The sequence below is a fragment of the Homo sapiens genome, chromosome 11, assembly GCF_000001405.40.
Source record: "Homo sapiens chromosome 11, GRCh38.p14 Primary Assembly".
Taxonomy (NCBI): domain Eukaryota; kingdom Metazoa; phylum Chordata; class Mammalia; order Primates; family Hominidae; genus Homo; species Homo sapiens.
The window spans coordinates 111,935,216-111,952,887 of NC_000011.10; the positions used below are offsets into that span (position 1 = coordinate 111,935,216).

Consider the following 17,672-nt stretch of genomic DNA (forward strand, 5'->3'; position numbering starts at 1 on the left):
CTGGTTCAGATCTTAGTTTCCATACTGACTTGCTGAGTGACTGTGAGCACCTCTCCTAGCCTTGGTTGCTTTTTCTATGATATAAGGGACTTGGGCCAAGTAAGGAAGTTGGGCCAAAATGTTTTGGAGCTTTAAAATTCAGTGATTTCATAAGTCTTTTTCCAGAAACACTGAGCTCACAGATCCTACTTTGATCAAAGACTTGTTTGAGAAACGCTGACCTCTGGCATAGATAACTGTCAGCAGGATCTCCCTCTGATGTCTCAATATTTTCTGCTCTGTGTACAAAGCATGAGGGGCTCTCAACCAATCAGGATCCTCTACCCAGGGATCCACCAAGTAGGTACTTTGGTTTTGCATCATTATGCACGTAGATGTATTGCATGCAAGTCTGTGCTGTTGGAAATTTCATGCTTCTCTTTATAAAGGAACTTGTTGAATTGACATGGGTTAGTGACTCTCCGGGGGTGTTACACCACGAAGTGTGGTAGTGTCAAAGGGAGTTCTTGGCAGTTAAATTCCTCAGCTAGATTATGAAGGACAGTGGTCTTTGGACTTGTGGGCTGCTCAGGTTTAGAATGATTTGGTGTCTTAGCTTTTCCCCAGCATTAGCCAGAATTGAACCCACTACATTCAACCAGCAGCTGCCACTCAACACCTGTGCTGGCCCTCTGCCCCCTGCCTGTTGTGGTCAGGGAGATGTGTTCTTTTTCAGAAACATCTTTGTGTTTAGCAGCTTTAGACATTCAGACAAGATATTGCTAGCCTGGCTGCTCTTGGTGGATTTTCTTTTTCTCTAAGGACCTGAAGAGGTCATTAGGTTGAATAAGAGCCATTACTGACTTTTCTGGCTAAGGTACTAATCAGGATTTGAGGAGGAATCTGGGTCTTCCAGAAAATCATAAGTGTAGACTCCTAGATCCTTGAGCTGCCTGTCACTGATTGGCTGCGTCCTTGGACAAGGCCCTGACCTTCTCTGAGCCCTAATGCTCTGTAAACCCTTCCTCTCCATCTGGGATCACGAGGTGGAATGTAAAATGAATGTTTTTTCAGCTTCGAGTTTTCCTATAGAAACAAGAGTTTGCACTGAGTTGCAAATGACTAGTATTCCTAAAAATAAATAATCAAGGCTATGACTTGAATAGCTAGAAACAGCCTAGAATAGCTTTCTGTTTCACTTGAGGAAGCTTTTTACCTCTTTCAAATGCACCAGGACATTTTTGCAGTCTTTATTTTAATTAAAGCCCATTTATTTTAAAACACATTAAAATATGGGTTGTATATTTTAGCAGTTATTTTATAAAGAATGAAATAGGAAAATTTTGGAAAAGGCTTGGTCATCCTTGATGTTTCTGTTGCGATCCTGCGTGATGTTTAGCACTGTTCTATTGAATGTGTTCTGATACCATCAATAACTAAAGTTCTTTTTATCCTCTTTTCCCCCTTTCTTCCTCTGCTCTTTCTCTTTCTTATTTCTTTCCCTTCTGCTTCCTCTTCTTTAGCTTGACCTCACTGTCCAGGGCCCATGTGGAAAAAGGTTGCTGTTTTCGGTTAGTCTGGGGGAAAATCCTATGATTCACTCCCTTTCCCACCCACCTTCTGGTGGGCCGTTTGTGGCCTTAAGTTAGCAGTGTGTGTGTGTGTGTGTGTGTGTGTGTGTGTGTGTTGCGCACCCTCCCCACGGGCACACCCGCCTGCAAGCCTGGTGTGTGTGTGCGCGCGCGCGGCTGCAAGCGCATGCATACGCCAGCCGGGCCGCCTGTTTGTCAACGTGTGTGTGTGTATGTGTGTATGTGTGTATGTGTGTGTGTGTGTGTATGCACACAGCGCGCACATACAGCAGCACGTTTGCCTAAAAGCCGTGTGAGTGTGTGTGTGTGTAGCGCACGCACACACGCCCGTGCTGCGGCCCGGGCGGGGGGGGGGTGTGCGCGTGCGTGCGGGCGTGCAGCGCGCGCCCTCGCCAGCCCGCCTGGCCGTGCGGCTTTCCCGCAGGAAAGCGGGGCTGGGGGCAGCCCGGCAGCGCCGCTCAACCTAGTGCGCGCCCAGTTGTTTCCATAGGAACCGCGACCGCGCCGGGCCCCTCCAGCGGAGGCCCCCGTGCGAGCATGCCCAGTGCAAGCCGCTAGTTTGGCTCCAGTCTAGGTTTCCAGTAAGTGGCATGCGGGACTCCGGAGGGATCCCAATGAGCTGAGCCGAGAGCCTTTGTGTGCAGAGGGAGGAGGAGGAGGCGGCGGCGGCCGCCGGGCTGGAGACCCCGCCCGGGGAGCCCCCAGCAGGAACAATGCTAGCCTGCCTGACCCGAGGGAACTTACTGGACGTCCTGCAGGAGGGCTTCAATGAGGTAACTGTCCTGCTCCTCCCACTCCTCAGCTCCCCTCCCCCAGCGTCTCCCGCCCAGTCTCCGGAAGGGGTCCTCCTCCTCCTCCATCCTTTGGGGACCCCAGAGCAAATCGCCCCCAGAACCCCAAAGGGGCTAAGGTGGTACTTACGGTGCAGATGGGTGAACCAGGAGAAATCAGAAGGGCTGCCTGCCCACAGCTAAGCTGGGCCATGACCTTCCCTGGTAGCTTACCTGAGCCCAAGAGGACAGGACCACAAATTCAGAAATCACCTCCTTCCAGAAGAGGGGGTCTCCATCCTCCCTAGAGCTTCTCTCTCCAAGGAAATCCTCAGGGAATCCCTGGATATTTGGCAAAAGTGCTCATCTATATCAGGAGCTAACCAGCGGAGCCAAGGGAGGGTGGAGTGGTACTGCATTGGTAGAAAGTTTGAGAGGGCAGGGGACTGTAGATGGTCCATGTGAAGTGCCCTCTTCATGTCTGAATCTCTTTCTGAGTGCGGGGCAGTAGATTTCTCTGCAATCAAGGACATGGTTGTCTGAGAGGAGCTACTGAGCGAGAGGGGACCTGGGTCCTGGGTCCAGGGAGCCAGCGCGTGCACCGGTCCATGTGAGAGCAGAGGAACTGGGGCCTCACTCTGACAGGCAAGATGGGCTAGGGCCGACAAGGGGTCATTTCCTCCCCACTTGTTTCTCTTACAATTCTGTTTATTGCATTTGCTTTTCTTGTGACCCAGGAAATTCTGGTTTGGGATGCTTCCCCCTCAAGATTTGCTCCATACGTCTTCGACTGCAGCTAAGCCCTACTCTTGCGGGTTGTCTTAGCCCAGCATCCAGGGAAACCTAGGCTGTTAGTTGTGTCTTTCTTCATTTCTCTCTCGCTCCTTTTCCTTCCATCTCTCTCTTTCTTCTCTCTGTGACTCTCTGAAATTTAAGATTTTTAAAATCAGTTTTTACTCAACATATGAATACATTGTCTTCTTAAATATGAGCATTTGATAGGCAAGACTGAAGTGCCTTTGGCTCCCCCCACCCATTCCAGCCTTTTCTCCAGAAATAACCATTCTCATGAATTCGTGTATAAGATTTTATTTCTCCAGCTGCACTACAGACTCCTTCCTTAATTCCTGTTTCTAATTAAGAAGCTCTGCAGCCTGACCTGCCACAGAACCCTCCCCTGGTCTGGCCCCCGTGCCCTAGCGTTGTTCCTAACACAGAGGAAAACTGCAGAAATGCTGTCCCAACCTAACCGAGTTGGAATTTTCCTTTGGCCAAGGGGTGTCACAACCTTCACTGAAGGGCGGAGCTTGCATCCTGTCTGCACTGCAGGGCACCTCATCTTTGCATCCTTCCTGTCTGAACACACGTAAGGGGATTGTTAACAAAGAGCTGTAGTCTAAGAGTTGAAACACAGAAGAGCCGGGAAGCCTACCTCTGAGTGATTCCAATATTCTGGTTCCTCTTTTCTCACTCTCTGCCTTTGGGCTGCCCCTGGTCTTTAGCTGCGTAAGTCTGACTCATTCACCAACTGTGGCAGAAGCTCTTTTAGTTGTCTTATACCTCCTGCCCCAACTTAACAACAACAACAAAACTCAGCTCTTGATGGTCCCACTGTCTGTTTAAGAGGAGGAAACCAGCACAGAGCTGGTCCTAATCTTAGTTTTCTGCTCATTTTCACTTCGAAACCTTTCGACTGAAGAGCCACCTAAACTAAGAGGCTTGGCCGTGTGTTTCATGCTTTGGTGCTTCCATAAATATCCCCTGACCTCCAATTCTTGAAAAACATAAGGGCATAAGGGAAAAGGGGAATGGGAGAGTGGTCTTTTTGTGGTGGTAATGGAATCTTCATAAAAACAACAGATGCATAACTTTTTAATTAATTGATCCCTAGAATAATGCAGTAGTGCCTCTTTTCCTTCTCTGATATTTGATTTTTCTACCCATTCTGTAAACTTCCCTCCATCCCCTCCACAAGCTAGTGTACGTCTGTTCCTCTCTGTTAGATTTGAACTCTGACAGCCAATGAGTACTTTTGATTTCTCTGAAAAATTGACATCATCTAAATAACAATGACAGTAATATGTTAAATTTGAATGGTTCCTTACAGTTTAAATAATTCTTTCACATTCTATATTAAATAATTCATTTTACATACAATATTACATTTAGTGCTACTGAATAATAGTGTAATTGGTTATTTTAGAGTCCATGGGGCCCTATTTGACCTATTCCAGCCTCCAGGGTTGCTTAATCGATCCAGTAATATCAATTTATTTTTTTAGAGTCCTTGAGATAAGGATGTAAACAGTGATTTAAAAGCTAGTGTCAGAATACGCTTTAATTCTTCTGAGAATTCCTACTGAGTCTACAAATACCACACATGTATCCAGTCACCTCCTGGGAATGATCCAAGTACATCTAAAGCTATTCTTCATCACCCAGATGCCTTATAGGTCTGTGTAGTTAGGGCTGTGACCTCATTCTCTATGGCAGAGAAAACTGCCACAGGGAATGGAGCTTTGGCCTTAATTGGTTAATTATAAGGGAACCCTGCAGCAGAGAGAAACCCTGCCCTCTGAATCCTGGCTTCCCTCTACCCACTGTTGGCTTCTGTTCTCAATCCTTTGCCACTATGTATAGCCATGCATGACAGAGTTTTCTCTTACCGCATTTCCTACACAGAGCCCTGGCCTCAACATGTCTGGCAAATAACTCACGGAATTGATCCTTGTCAGTGCTTTCAATGCAATGCCTTTGAATGGCATGGTTAATTTGGATGGCAAATTATCCACAGGTTTTGGCTACTGCCACCCTGGCTGTCATCCCCCATTTCCTATGGCTTGGCCAGGCTTCCTATAGATCACAATCTCCCCAATCTGCATCTGCCTCAAAGCTATTTGTTTTCTCTGCTGCTTGATATTGGTGTTGTCCTATGAATGTTGTAAATGTGCCAATATGGATTTCTGCAAGTGTTTTTTGGGGGGCTGAACTTTCTTTAAAAACAACTTTGGTGCTTGTGTTGGGAGGTTTTGAGCGACTTGAGATTATAATACGGTTTGGGTAATATGCATTCATTTATTCAGTTATTCATTAGTTATTCATAAATCAGTAGTTTATTGAAAGGGGATGGATAAAAGAATTGAAAAACATTCAGTTCCTGCTTCCAAGGAGTTTATAGGGAGAGATAGGGTGTACTGATATGAAAAGGACTGAACATTTACCAATCCATCTGCTCATTGAGGCCAGATTTTTTCCCTGCTCGTCTGGTACATGCATGCAAGCAGTCATTCACTGGACATTCTCTGAATTACTGTGTTTGCCAGTCACTGTGCCAGGCTCTGGAAATACATAGAAGTCCAATAACATAGAGTCTGTGCCCTACTGGAGCTCACAGACCAGTGAAGAGGAAGTAGCCAGGCACGGTGGTGCATGCCTGTCGTTTCAGCTCCCTGAGAAGCTGAGGCAAGAGGACCACTGGAGCCTAGGAGTTAGAGGCTGCAGTGTGCTGTGACCGCACGTGACTGGTGACCGCACTCCGGCTTAGATGACAGAGACCCATCTCTTAAAAAAAGAGACAGGCTGGGTGCTGTGGTTCACGCCTGTAATCCCAGCTACTCGGGAGGCTGAGGCAGGAGAATCGCTTGAACCTGGGAGGTTGAGATTGCAGTGAGCTAAGATCGTGCCACAGTAGATGTTCAGAGTGTCAAACTTGGGAAAATTGAGGTGATACAGAAATCTTACTTGTGGGGAAGAGTGAACGTAGGCCCAGCTGTGGTGTGCATGGCCTGGGGGCTGAAAGTTGGGGGAATGGTTTATGAAAATGATGGTTGACAGGAAATCACTTGTCCGAACCTTAAGCTTTTGAACATAAGTTCTGGCAGACTTTCCCTACCAGTTTTCCTCCAAGTAGAAAAGTAGAAATTGAAATTTCACATTAAGATTCATCCGCTTGGCAGTCCCTTAGAAATATAGGAATAGGCCAGGCACAGTGGCTCATACCTATAATCCCAGCACTTTGAGAGGCCGAGGCAGGAGGATGGCTTGAGCCCGGGAGTTCAAGACCAGCCTGGGCAACGTGGTGAGACCCTGTCTCTACAGTTAAAAAAAAAATGAGCTGGGCATGGTGGCATGCATACCTGGGATCCCAGCTACTTGGGAGGCTGAAGTGGGTAGATCACTTGAGCCCAGGAGGTTGAGGCTGCAATGAGCCATGTTCCTGCTACTGTTCTCCAGCCTGGGCAACAGGGTGAGATTCTGTCTCAAAACAAAACGAAACAAAATACACACACACACACACACACACACACACACACACACCCACGAAGAGTTTTAGTCTGGTCTCATCTCCATAAGGGGGACATAGAGTGAGTGAGGAAGAAGATTGGAAAGTGAAACATTGCTCCTAAAGGCCTTGTGCCCTCCATAGAGTAGCGGTGGCGTCAACACTGGGCCAATTAGAGGCTTCCAGACATTTTCACAATGAACTCCTCTGTGCTTTGCTGTAGAAATTAAAGGCTTGTTAAGTCTACAGAGCAACTCAGCACCAGATTCCCCAACCTTCTTTTTTCTATCCTGCCTGATTTCTCCTCTCCCCACCCAGGCTCATTGGCTTCATTCCCACAGGAGGCAATGCCAGCTAAACAGATGCACCCTGGCAGCAGGCTATCAGGCAGCTTTATGTTCCTCGTGGTGAGTGATGAGTTGGCCAGGCATGTGGAGCAGTGATAGGGCACTGTTAGCCAGGTGCCACTCCCCGAGGCGGTTCAGAGGATCTAGGGAACACTAGAAAGGCTTCATCTGCCATGATTGGCCTTGTTGTCTAGGCTGTAAGGACCAAAGGCTAAAACTGACACTTTCCTGAATGCATTTTCTTGTTTGTTATTCCCCCAAACCAAGCTCCATTAAAGTGGTCATGGATATTAGCTAGATGTGGTAAGGCAATAGAGAACCAATTCCACAGGCCCTGAGGGTGGGCTCTTATCTCCTGTTTCTAGGATGAGGGACACCCCTAGACCATAGAGTGATACTTCATTCATCCATTCATTCACATGCATTTATTGAGCACTTACCTTGTAACATGTACTTGTGAAGGAGCAGAGAGTGTTTGGGGACTCATAACTGATGGAAATTTAAAAATAAGTTTAGGAGATGATATCTTTCAGAAAATCTTTAGCTCTTTACTTTCTGATATATTATCTTTTGACCACTGGGCTGAATACTAATATATTAATCTTCCCTTATCCAAGGGACATCCATCTCAAGACCCCCAGTGGATGCCTGAAACCGTGGATGGTACTGAACCTGACTGCCATCAGTCGGAGCCTGTTTCTCTTCATGTTTTCTACCCACAAATTTAATTTACTTTGAGGCCATTATAGAGTAAAACAAGGGCAACTTGAACACAAGCACTGCGATACCTTGGCAGTCGTTCCAATAAGAAGATGACGGGTAGCACAGACAGCTTGAATATGCTGGACAAAGGGATGAGTCACGTCTTGGGTGAAACAGAGTGGGATGGCACAAGATTTCATCACACTACTCAGAGTGTTGGACAATTTATTTATTTTTTAAATTTTGATTTCAATTTATTTATTTTTTGAGACAGTGTCTCACTCTGTCACCCAGGCTGGAGTGCAGTGATGTGATCTCAGCTCACTGCAACCTCCACCTCGCACCTCTTGGGCTCAAGCGATTCTCCTGCCTCAGTCTCCCCAGTAGCTGGGACTATAGGCATGTGCTACCACACCCGGCTAATTTTTGTAGTTTTAGTAGAGACAGGGTTTCACCATGTTGGCCAGGCTGGTCTCGAGCTCCTGACCTCAGGTGATCCACCTGCCTCAGCCTCCCAAAATGCTGGGATTACAGGCATGAACCACCGCGCCCGGCTACGATTTAAAGCTTAGGAATTATTTTTGGAATTTTCTTTCTCTCTTTTTTTTTTTTTTTTTTTTTTTGTTTTTTGAGACGGAGGCTTGCTCTGTCCCCTAGGCTGGAGTGCAGTGGCGCAATCTTGGCTCACTGCAACCTCCGCCTCCCGGGTTCAAGCAATTCTCCTGCCTCAGCCTCCCGAGTAGCTGGGACTATAGATGCGTGCCACCACGCCTGGCTAAATTTTTTGTATTTTCAGTAGAGATGGGATTTCACCGTGTTATCCAGGATGGTCTCGATCTCCTGACTTCGTGATCCGCCCACCTCAGCCTCCCAAAGTGCTGGGATTACAGGCATGAGCCACTGCGCCTGGCCCATTTCTGGAATTTTCTATTTAATATATTCAGACGGTGGTTGACCATGGGTGGTTGAAACTGTGGAAAGAAAAACTATGGGTAAGGGAGACTTCTGTACAAAGAACCTGTCCATGAAAGGAAGAAGAAATTCAAGGATATTTTTACTTGTGAACTTTATTTGTACCCAATTAGCCATCAAATTCAATGAACAAATAGCTTTTGCAGGTTCAGTAAAGGGCTGAAAGAGTTAATAGAAAAGAAATACAATAGGGTGTTTACTGGCAGAATTTAGGCCAATAATAACATAAGGTTTTTAAATCTCTAGCCTTGCTCTTAGTTTCTCAGCAACTTCCCCACCCTCATCTCCTCATCTTCTGCTGCTGGAGGGTCTCAGAGTTCTAAACAGGTATCTGGTTTCACTGTAAAACTAATTTCCTTCCTGAGCCATTCATGTCTCCTCCTGAACTGTCTCTCTAGCATACCACAAAAGCTCTCTGCTTTTCTTGTTTGCTTTTCTTGTTGCCAGCAGGAAAACATAGAGTCGCCTCCTTGGCTGTTTCTGCTCTAAGAACAGTAGATACCACATACTTCCCTGGTGAAGCCCCATTGGTGCTTTCGCAACTCTAGCAAATAAGTCCCCTGCAGGAATTCTGTGAGCTTGAGTCTTGGAGGAGATAGAGAACTGAGGCTCGGCTTACAAACCTGTTTGGAAGGAAGGGCAGGTCCCAAAGAAAAACAGGAAGAAGGTTACATTTGGTGGCAAGAAAGCTTTCAAGGTCAAGATTTCCTGCACAAATGAAGATTTTGGATGGAATTGTGTATACTAGAAGACTTTTACCTAAAATCATAGGGTTATTTGGAGTGTCTTGGAGGAAGCTGATGGAGATTATGGGATTGCTAAAGCCTCCTTCCACCGGCCACCTCGTGGTACTATCACTGCTCTCACAACTTTAGAGGGGTCCAGTCTCATCAAGCCAAAATCCTTCTCAGACAGTTTTAACTCTTGTTATGTCTACTGACTGACTTCTTCTGAGGCCTGACTCAGAGGGTGGTTACCATGAAAACCTTCAGTTGTTCTAGACATTTATTACACTGGCATCCTTTTAGCTTCCTTAGAACAAATTAGTCATGAAACTCCAGACTGAGATTAGTTCAACACTGTTACACACGTAGTATGTACCAACTGTCTTGGTCTTTTTTAAAAAATTAGTTCGGTTACAAGTGCCAAAAACCCAACTTGAACTAGCAGGGATAGGAAGTGGACGTTATTGACTCATGGAATCCAAGGAAAGGCAGAAAAACTAAACCATGGAAAGGGCAGGGATGCAGCAGAAACAATGAAATCAAGAACTCTGACACTGGCAGGATCTCTTCCTCTGTTCTCTGCCTCTTGTCTGCTTCTTTCTATGCTGGCTTTATTCCCATTTACTAGAGCTGGTTTTTCCTTCTCAGGTGGGCAGCATGGCCTATGGCAACGTCTAAGTTTTATATCTTACAACTTTGAGAGAGATGAGGGAGGAGGAGGAAGACTGATTCTATTCCTAAATGCCAGTTCAGAAAGTTCCAGGGATTGGCTGGCTTTCACCAATCAACTTTGGCAGACCAATCAAGTGTGACCAGTGGAGGGGGTGATACAATACCAACCTGGTCATAGGACCCACCACTGTGTGCACAGAGGAGGGTTCTTAAAGAAGAGGGAATCATTGTGGGCTGGGCAGCTACCCCAGGAGCTGTTAGCTACACTATCACTGTAAGCCTAGCTGGAATCTGATCATTCCTACTTTGCCTCTCTTGACCAAGATCCAGGGTCATAATCAAAATATAATTCTTTTTTTTTTTAATTGTTATGCGAAAGAGCTTCATTTATTTGTTTAGTTTTCTGACTTTGTGCTGGTGTGTTCAATACTTTTTCTTTTCCTGAATAAGGAAGGCACGCTTGGTTCTGTCACAGACACATTTAGTACACATAGAACAACCACAGGCCTTGCTGACATGGATTTTTTTTTGAGACAGAGTCTTGCTCTGTTGCCCAGGCTGGAGTGCAGTGGCACGATCTCAGCTCCCTGCAACCTCTGCATCCTGGGGTCAAAGGATTCTTGTGCCTCAGCCTCCCAAGTAGCTGGAATTACAGGCATACACCACCAGCCCGGTTAATTTTTTTTTTTTTTTTTTTTGAGATGGAGTCTCGTTCTGTCGCTCAGGCTGAAGTGCAGTGGCACGATCTTGGGTCACTGCAAACTCCGCCTCCTGGGTTCAAGTGATTCTCCTGCCTTAGCCTCCCAAGTAGCTGGGATTATAGGCGCCTGCCACCACGCCCGGCTAATTTTTGTATTTTTTTTTTTTTTTGAGATGGAGTCTTGCTCTTTCGCCTAGGCCGGACTGCAGTGGTGCGATCTCGGCTCACTGCAAGCTCCGCCTCCTGGGTTCCCGCCATTCTCCTGCCTCAGCCTCCCTAGTAGCTGGGACCACAGGCGCCTACCACTGTGCCCGGCTAATTTTTTGTATTTTTAGTAGAGACGGGGTTTCACCGTGTTAGCCAGGATGGTCTCGATCTCCTGACCTCATGATCCGCCCGCCTTGGCCTCCCAAAGTGCTGGGATTACAGGCTAATTTTTGTATTTTTATTAGAAATGGGGCTTTGCCATGTTGGCCAGGCTGGTCTCGAACTCCTGACCTCAAGCTATCTGCCCACCTTGGCCTCCCAAAGTGCTGGGATTACAGGTGTGAGCCACTGCACCTGGTCAGTTTTTTTGTATTTTTAGTAGAGACGGAGTTTTGCCATGCTGGCCAAGCTAGTCTGTAATTGCTGGCCTCAAGTGATCTGCCTACCTCAGCCTCCCAAAGTGCTAGAATTACAGGCATGAGCCACTGCACCCAGCCAACATGTTTTTTTTCCTTTGTTTATTTTGGAGAACCTCTTAAGAACTTTAGGTGTCACAGCAGGAACTCATTGAAGTCGGCCTGGGCACACGCCACATGCAGATTTTGGTGTTTTCCCAACCTTCTTGGTATGAAGGTAAACAGTTCTGTGAACAGGGATTTGGGACAGCCTAATTTTGTTAGAGGCTGTATTGCAGAAAAGCCTACAATGGTATGCCAAATGCTGGACCATTCTGAGTGCCTATGGACACTGTCCCCAGAATAAGCAAGATCTATTTCTCAATATTCCAGATATTTCCATTTTGCTGAGCCTGTTGTATCTTTTTGTCACTGAATAATAGACTTGTAAAATGATAGTGTTAGAAGGAAACAAAATGCAGTTTTTTTTTTCTTTTGGTGTTTATATTTGTTTTGGTTCTTGTTTTCAGCTGCTGTGTGAAGCCCTTAAATTACTTTAGATGGCTGGAGAGTAGGGGTGGGGGCTTGAGGGTGGAGAAACACAGGAAGAGTGAGCTGGGTTTTGGACTCCTGACCCTGGCCTAATCAGAGAAGCACTGCTTTTCCCTATTTTACATATCTGCTTCTTACACAAGTTATAATTTTAAAAAATAATGAGGCCAAAAAAAATGAAGAAATGAAACTACTAGTCCACCTTTCAGAGAGTAACAGCCTCCTGTAAAAGGCATATGGTATTTCATCTGCTACAGAAAGAGAAGCCCTAATATATTGTTCAAATCAAGCAGCAGAGCCACTCAGGGCCCAGGCTTGCCCCACAGGCCTCTTTGAAGACAAAACTGCTTTGTGGGAGAAGTGGATGGCATGGCTGGCCTTCACAAGTGTCTACTTTGTCCTTAAGTCAGTTTCTTCAGAGCTGGCAGTGGGCATTTATAGGAAGAACAGGGTCTTGCCTGCCCCTTGGATGAGAAGTACAGATATCTTCAGGTCAAAGAGAGACAGACAGTTTAGTGCTTGTCTCCCTAAATTAGACATAAAGGGAGAGGCAGCAGCCTAAAGAAGGATAGTATAACCCTTCACCTGTGGATAAGACTAGCCCTATTCACTTGTGAAGCTCTGATCGCTGTTAGATGCCATTGAACAGATTCACGTCAGCATGCAAACATAGTGATGACATGCCAAAGGCTTATCTTCAACTAAATTTTTTTCATCAATGATTTAATTGAAGACAAACTAGTTTTTAAAGTTACATGAAGGCCAGGTATGGTGGCTCACACCTATAATTTCAGTATTTTGGGAGGCCAAGGCAGGAGGATGGCTTGAGGCCAGGAGTTCGAGACTAGCCTGGGCAACATAGCAAGGACTCCATCTCTACAAAAATCAAAAATTTAAAAAAAGAGAAAAGAATGAAGTAACTTGGATCTGGACAGAATGCCAAATAGCCTCAGCACCTTAGTCTCTAACACTCTCTAGACAGGACTTCAGGATCCACAGTCTAGCCTCCCAGTTCCTGGACTGTCCCCACTGTAATGATTGTCCCCCTCCATGCCACTTCTACAAGGCCACATACCGAGGCCACACTTGAAACTTACTCTACAGAATTTTCCCATCCCTGAAATCTTGAACTCTGAAACTCTACTCTGCTCAAAACCCCAGTTTTCACGGTCCTACATTCCCATTAAAATTATTTTTTTCATTCCATCAAGTTCTCCTTTCCTTCCTGTCCTCTACCTTCTTAAGGCTTATCCACTGTCTCTTAATTTCTTCTCCCTGGCCCAGACTTTACCGTCAGTCACTTCAAGCACTTTCAACACCACGCTTACTTCCTTTGCCCTGGTGGTCACTGCCTCTCCTCTGATGATTTTCAGTCCTAGATTAGCCCATCCTTGGTTTCCCCTGCTCATGGCCCAGTCCTGCTGAGCAGGTCTAGAGCAAATCATACAACCTTGCTGATTGATTCAATTACAAAATGATGATTTCCAGTCCTAGCTGAGTGCTTGGTGCTGCCAGGAATCTTTAGCAGTCAGTGTTCTTTCCATCTTCTCACAGGGTCTGCCGCAAGTCTCTGACCCTTTCCTGAAGCCTCCTTCATTCTCCCCGTCCCTTTCACCCTCAGCAGATAAACTGGCCTACTTCATAGGAAGGAATGACTTGAGGGACAGCTGCATTTGAACTCCTTCAGCTTCCCTCTTCCCACCTCCGCACTTCCCCACACTCCTGATCAGAGGACGCAGCTCTTTTCCTCTTCTCTGAAACTTTGATGCATCATGATACCTCCCATTTCCTCATCTGCCAAATAACTCTTAGAGCTCACCTTACCTTTTGGGATGCTGTAGAGCCCAGGATTTAGCGTCATCACTGAATTCAAACCCTTGTTCTGTCACTGAGCAGCCCTGCAACTGTGGGCATATTCCTCTGAACCTTGGTTTCCACATCTGTAAAATGGGAAAAATATTTCCTCGCAGGGTCAATGTGAAGGGAAAAATATATGTATAAGGGATGTAGCAAAGTGCTTAGCACAATACCTGGCATGTAGTAAGTGCTTGGTAGATGGCACTTATCTCACTGGCAAACTTATCTAGATACTCTCAAACATGGATCTCCCACCCCGCCCCCAGCTCTTGGGCTCTAGACCTGTGTTTTGCCAACTGGCTGTGGAACATCTATACTCTGGTGTTCTACAAATAGCTCAGACTCTCTCAAAACCGAGCCATTGACTTTTCCCAGTGCTTGTTCTTCATGTCTTCTCCATCCCAGTTAAAGCATCACCAGCCAGCCAGTCATTCGGGTCCAACATTTTGGACCCTCTTTTTGTCGCTCCCTACATCCTATCAGTCATCTCTGGCTTGTTTCTGGAGTTTGTCCTTTGCTCACTGGTGCTGCTTCAGTTTAGGTGCTTATCTTCTCTTGCTTGAATTATTGCCTGGGCTCCTCGTTGGCTTCTTCAATCTGTATGCTGTTCTTTCTATTCCAAGATGCCAGTCACACAGTTTCACTCTCCTGTTTCACAACTTCACACTTCCTGTTGAAGGTCATTAAGCCTTAGTCTAAGTGCTGGTGGTCGTGGGCAGACCTGTTTCTCCAACATTATCACCTGCTCCGCCCACACGCTACCCCCTCAACTGGCTGTTCCTCTAAGATAGTATGTGTCTTCTGACCCTTCCTCCTTCCATCACCTCTGCCCTTGTCCTCTCTGCAATTGGCAGACATCCGTAAAGAACCAGCCAGATGTCTCCTTCCCTGTTGACCTTTTCCTGATTCCTCCAGCCTTCCATCCTGTTGCTCCTTCTCTGCATAAATAGCTTTTTTTTTTAAACGTTTCTCTCTTGTAGCAGCAATCACTTTGTGTCCGTTATTTATGTGCCTGTAAGCACTGACCTTGGCACAATGCCTGGCAGATAGTAGGGACTCAAGAATATGTTGACTTGAATAAATGAATGCATGGAATGACAGGATCTCTTGAGACACAATCTAGCAAGGTGAAATTTATTAAAGGCAAATGTGGATCAAGAAAACCAATTTTACAAGCTCAAAGATGGAAGGGATATGGTTTAACAGCAAAATGTGTTAAAAATTATTTAGGGGTTTTGGTTGACAGTTTAGTATGAGTCACCAATGTGACCCAAAAAAAGAAAAAGAAAAGAATATGAAATATCTTGAATGAAGAAGCTGAGTATCTGGTTTTATACCTAGAGTGTTGTGCTTGGTTCTAGGTATTACAGTTTTAGAGAGACTTAGATTGAATAGCAATATTTCTTATTTTATTTTTTTTTATTTTTGTGGGTACAAAGTAGGTATATATATATATATATATATATATATATTTTTTTTTTTTTTTTTTTTTTTTTTTTTTTTTTGAGACAGAGTTTCACTCTTGTCGCCCAGGCTGGAGTGCAATGGCATGATCTTGGCTCACTGCAACCTCTGCCTCTCAGGTTCAAGCGATTCTCCTGCCTCAGCCTCCCGAGTAGCTGGGATTACAGGCGTGTGCCACCATGCCCAGCTAATTTTTGTATTTTTAGTAGAGACAGGGTTTCACCATGTTGGCCAGACTGGTCTTGAACTCCTGACCTCAGCTTATCCACCTGCCTCAGCCTCCCAAAGTGCTGGGATCATAGGCGTGAGCCACTGTGCCCAACCAGTAGGTGTATATATTTATGGGGTACATGAGGTATTGTGATATAGGCTTATGATGTATAATAATCATATCAGTGTAAATGGGGTATCCATCACCACAAACATTTATCCTTTCTTTGTGTTACAAATAACCTAATTATACTTTTAGTTACTTTAAAATGTACAATATTATTGCTGCCTATAGTCACCCTTCTGTGGAATAGCAGTAATTCTTCAAACCAGTTTGCTTTTAAGGTTTTTTAAAATAAATTACCAAAATAGACAAACTACTAGCTAGCATAAATAAGAAAAAAAAGGGAGAAATACAAATACACAAAATAAGAAATGACAATAGAAAAATAGCCACTGAAACAGAAAAAGTAATTACAACAGACTTTGCAGTCCTCTGTGCAAATACATTCAAAAACTTTGATGAAATGGATAATTTCTTAGGTAAATACTGATTACCAAAATTGATAGAAAATGGAAGTTTAAACAAACCAATTTCTATAGAAGAATTAGAGAACCCTATTAAGGAATTATTCCTCAAAAAAGTACAGGCCCAGATTATCTCATGGGTAATTCTACTAAACCTTCAAATATCAGATGGACACAATGTTGTGTAAATTATTTCAGAGCATTGACAATGAAGGAAAACCCATAAATATGTACACCTACTGTATACCTATAAAAATCAAAAATTAAAAAAAGAAAATGAAGACTTTCCTAAAAGTTTTTATGAAATGTAATATTTATATCTAAACATTATAGAGATGGTGCAAAAAAAAACTACAGACTAATATTATTTATGAATATCCATGAGATTTGGGAGTGGCCAGGGGCCCCAAAATCATATAGTTTGGCTATGTCCCCACCCAAATCTCTTCTTGAATTCCCACGTGTTGTGGGACCCAATGGGAGGTAATTGAATCATGGGGGCAGGTCTTTCCTATGCTGTTCTCATGATAGTGAATAAACCTCACGATATCTGATGGCTTATGAGGCAGAGTTTCCCTGCACAAACTCTGTCTCTCTTTTTGTCTGCTGCCATCCATGTAAAATGTGACTTGCTCCTCCTTGCCTTCTGCCATGATTGTGAGGCTTCCTTAGTGATGTGGAACTATAAGTCCATTAAAACTTTTTTTTTTTTTTGTGATGGAGTCTCACTCTGTCACCCAGGTTGGAGTATAGTAGCATGATCTTGGCTTGCTGCGATTTCCACCTCCTAGGTTCAAGCGGTTCTCCTACCTCAGCCTCCTGAGAAGATGGGATTACAAGTGTGTGCCACCACACCTGGCTAATTTTTGTATTTTTAGTACAGATGGGGTTTCACCATGTTGGGCAGGCTGGTCTTGAACTCCTGACCTCAAGTGATCTGCCCGCCTCAGCCTCCCAAAGTGCTGGGATTATAGGCATGAGCCACCATGCCCGTCTTAAAATCTCTTTTTCTTCCCAGTCTCGGGTATGTCTTTATCAGCAGCGTGAACACAGACTAATACAATGTTCTTGAGTAGGATGATTCAACATCATAAATATGTCAATTTTCTCTAAATTAATTTATAAGTTTAATACAATCCCAGTAAAAATTCCAAGAAGCTTTTTTAGGAAGTTAGACAAATTGACACTAAAGTTCATATGGTGAAATAAATACACAAGAACAGTCAAGAAAACACTAAGGCAATGGTTTACAGGCAGTAGTTTACCTGTAATCCCAGACTTTGGGAGGCCAAGGTGGGAGGAAGGTGAGGCCAGAAGTTCTAGCCTGAGCAACAAAGTGAGACCCTGTCTCTACAAAAAAATCCAAAAATTGGCCAGGCCTGGTGGCTCACACCTGTAATCCCAGCACTTTGGGAGACCAAGTCAGGCAGATCATGAGGTGAGGAGTTCGAGACCAGCCTGACCAACATGGTGAAACCCCATTTGTACTAAAAATACAAAGTTAGCCGGCTGTGGTGGTGCGTGCCTGTAATCCCAGCTACTTAGGAGGCCGAGGCAGGAGAATTGCTTGAACCCAGGAGGCGGTGGTTGCAATGAGCCGAGATCACACCACTACACTCCAGCCTGGGTGACAGCGTGAGACTTTGTCTCAAAAAAAAAAAAAAAAATCCAAAAATTAGCTGTGGTGGCGTGTGACTATGGCCTTAGCTACTCTGGAG

At 44.9% G+C, this 17,672-nt stretch overlaps 1 protein-coding gene across 6 annotated transcripts in view, besides 1 other annotated feature; it reads left to right on the forward strand.

Moving 5' to 3' along the window:
- DIXDC1 (DIX domain containing 1) overlaps window positions 1-17,672 on the forward strand; it is a 95,339-nt gene that overhangs the window by 7,901 nt on the left and 69,766 nt on the right. For 2 of the 6 annotated variants that reach the window (NM_001037954.4, XM_024448742.2), the window contains exon 1: window positions 2,128-2,344. The exons of the other annotated variants lie outside the window; for them this stretch is intronic. In NM_001037954.4, coding sequence (NP_001033043.1) covers window positions 2,285-2,344 — 60 coding nt within the window. In that variant the 5' untranslated portion in view covers window positions 2,128-2,284. Of the gene's footprint in view, window positions 1-2,127; window positions 2,345-17,672 lie in introns of those variants that run through there. 6 annotated transcript variants of the gene reach the window in all.
- Window positions 1,905-2,004: a silencer, noted in NCBI's record as "silent region_3904". NCBI's record gives its function as "represses an Ori minimal core promoter by ATAC-STARR-seq in GM12878 lymphoblastoid cells {active_cell/tissue: GM12878}" and the evidence as "EXISTENCE:reporter gene assay evidence [ECO:0000049][PMID:35858748]".